The sequence below is a fragment of the Homo sapiens genome, chromosome 13 (assembly GCF_000001405.40).
Source record: "Homo sapiens chromosome 13, GRCh38.p14 Primary Assembly".
Lineage (NCBI taxonomy): Eukaryota > Metazoa > Chordata > Mammalia > Primates > Hominidae > Homo > Homo sapiens.
The window spans coordinates 109,368,458-109,371,247 of NC_000013.11; the positions used below are offsets into that span (position 1 = coordinate 109,368,458).

The 2,790-nt window shown below is 49.7% G+C and overlaps 1 annotated feature.

Moving 5' to 3' along the window:
- Positions 945–1,942: an enhancer, noted in NCBI's record as "H3K27ac-H3K4me1 hESC enhancer chr13:110021749-110022746 (GRCh37/hg19 assembly coordinates)". NCBI's record gives its function as "activates a minimal SCP1, AML or CMV promoter by ChIP-STARR-seq in naive H9 embryonic stem cells {active_cell/tissue: H9 hESC(naive)}" and the evidence as "EXISTENCE:reporter gene assay evidence [ECO:0000049][PMID:30033119]".

Consider the following 2,790-nt stretch of genomic DNA (forward strand, 5'->3'; position numbering starts at 1 on the left):
AAAAAAAGCAAGAAAAAGATAAGAAAAAACAAAGAAATGTATTGATTGATTGATTCACTCACTGTATAAGCATAGTTTTAGCAAAAATTTTTGACCAGATATTGTACTAGGTATTGAAGATAGGAAGAAAATTGGAATATTCTCAGTTGAGTATTTCTGATTTGTCTTTTGCCTCTTCAATCATTTAATTTGTAAAGGCTTCTGCTCCAGAGCAGCTGCCCTGGGACACCAAGAAGACGCTGGGTCTCCTTCAGGGATCCAGGGTTGCTTGGATGCTGGGAGCCGACCTGCATTCGCTGAAGGAAGTGGAGCCCAGACCTCATGACAGATAATTCCAGCAAAACCAGTACCTCGCCTACTGAAAAATTACCTTCACTCATCATCTACCTTGCTTAAACTCATCGGACATTTCTCAGTTTTCTACTCCCCGGTGTGCTTTAAGCTTTGCTATAAAGCATCAACATCTATCATCACCCTAACTTCTTAAATCAATTTTAGTGCCTATTAAAAGTTGCCATCAAAAAAGACTATAGTTAATAACAATGTGTTGCATATTTGAAAATTGCTACCAAGGCAGATTTTGAGTGTTTTCACCACAAAACCTATGTGAGATGATACATATGTTAATTAGCTTGATTTAGCCATTTCCTCATGGGCACATATTTCCAGACATCATGTTGTATACCATAAATACAGGATATACAATTTGATTTGTCAATTAAAACAAATAAATAAAAAGGCCTCTGTGTGTGTTTGCATGTGTGTGTCTGTCCTCATATACTTGTCCCTTTTGTAAAACTTCTGCAACTGAAGTTTTAGGGCAAGAGCAGGCTGATTTTTTAAGATCTTTGTTATAGCAATAAGTTACCAGAATGCTAATTTATAGTAAAGAAGCCCCTGCCAGTGGCATGACAAAGAGCCACGGGCTGGCAGAGAGCAGATAGCACGCTGCAGAGGGATACTGTGTCTCTCCTTTGTTCCAGTTTCTCTGGTGCCCTGATTTTTCACAGCCTTGGCCCAGTGTGTGTTGTTTTTGTCTCCATCCAGGCAGCAAGCGCTGTAAAGAGTAGAAAATGCCAGAATCTGTCGGCGGCAGCAGAGGCAGTGGCAAAAATAGAAAAATCCATTCAAAGCATGTGGGTCACCAGTCTCAGAATTCCCAAATGGGAGCAGGCAGAAAGGAGGGATTCAACAAAGCTCCACACCCTCCCCGCCCTCCACCTCCCGAGTGGGAAGCTGGGCACCTGTGCCCAGTGGGTTCCCCTTGGTTCGGCCACTGTGCCTTGCCACCATCCTGATGGAAGCTCACTCACTCTTTCCCTGCTTGTTCATTCTGCAGACTTCCCAGGGCCCTGGGGATCTAAGCAGGGTAATGAGTGTGCCGCCTTATCAGGCACGAGGGCTCCTATCTCTGCCAGGCACCTGCACCCAAGAGGGAGAGGAGCCCATGACGCGCATCACTTGCTGGCCCAGAAAAGAGCTTCCTGGGGATTCCCAGCCCTTTGAAAATCCAGAGGGAAAAGTTCTCCCTTTTTTGTGCTCTCCCTGCTTGACTTTGCAAGCCCGTGAGCCTCCAGCAGTGTCCTGAGCGTGAATGGCACTCGGTCCTCACCATGCCACCCTCTGCTGAAGTGATGCCTCAGCTTGCAGGCCAAAGGCACAGAAATCTGAGTTTCCTGAGGAGGCCCAGGACTCCCTTCGTCATCTCATGAGGGAGAAAGCTCCTGTAGAGCAGTGGAGAAGCAGCTACGAGTGCAATGCACAGACAGAAACCAACACGCTGCTCCAAGTGGTGTTATTCGTGTGCCCCCAACACTGGGGGAAATCCAGGAAGTCACCGGAGGGAAGGGACAGTGTCTCCCGCTGTACTTAGCTTGTCCTCAGCCAGAAGCGTTTCCCAGTTCCTGGTGCTGCTATTGCAATGTGCACACTTTTCTCCTGTGCTCACCCCACTGTTTTCCAAAAATCACTTCCCAGGATGATGGGAGGCCAAGGGAACACTGCCTCGATTCCACACCCCCTCAGTCTCCCGATCCAGCAGTAGCCCACCCACGTTCCCCTCATTCCTCTCCACCTTCATCTCATAGGAAGGGTGGCGGGGAAGGAAACTCACACAGGTCGCACACCTGCAAGGTGCCAGGCACCTGTCACCGGCCACGTGTGCCTTTCTCCAATCTTCACCATGACTCAGGGACAGGGTGTTCTGTGACCGCATCACAGCTGTGCCTCACAAAGGCCTTCCAGAGCACTGGCTGTGTTCAAGCCAGTCCTCACTAACTGCAAATATGGTCAGACCAGCTCCGGCACACCCTCTCCTTCCAACCCCAGCAGGCTGATGCACTCTCACGCCACGCATCGCACTCTCCTTTCCTTTGTCATCTTCCTGTCCTGTCCTCTGGGGTCATGCTTGCTGAATCCATGCTGCCAGCCTCCCAGCACCTGCCCCCAGCATTTTCACCCAGAGCTTGTTCACATTCACCCATGAACTGGACGTGAAAAGCAGGACACTTGCTGATACCGGGGACAAGGAGCCACAGAGAGGACCCACCAGAAGTGCCTTTAGTGGGGAAAGGGCTTGCGGGGAAAAGCGCCCTCAGCCCTGCGCTAACTCAGAAGTTAAGCTACCGGAGGCTGCAGCTCCAGGAGAGGCCGACCTGTCTGACTCTCAAGCCCTCTGTGGGTCGGGTTCATGTCACTTCTTCTGTGAAATACTTCTGTAAAACAAATTAACACCGGCGGCCCCTGCAGTGCACAACCCGCTGAAACCCCTGCACTCCTCCCCAGGGAAGC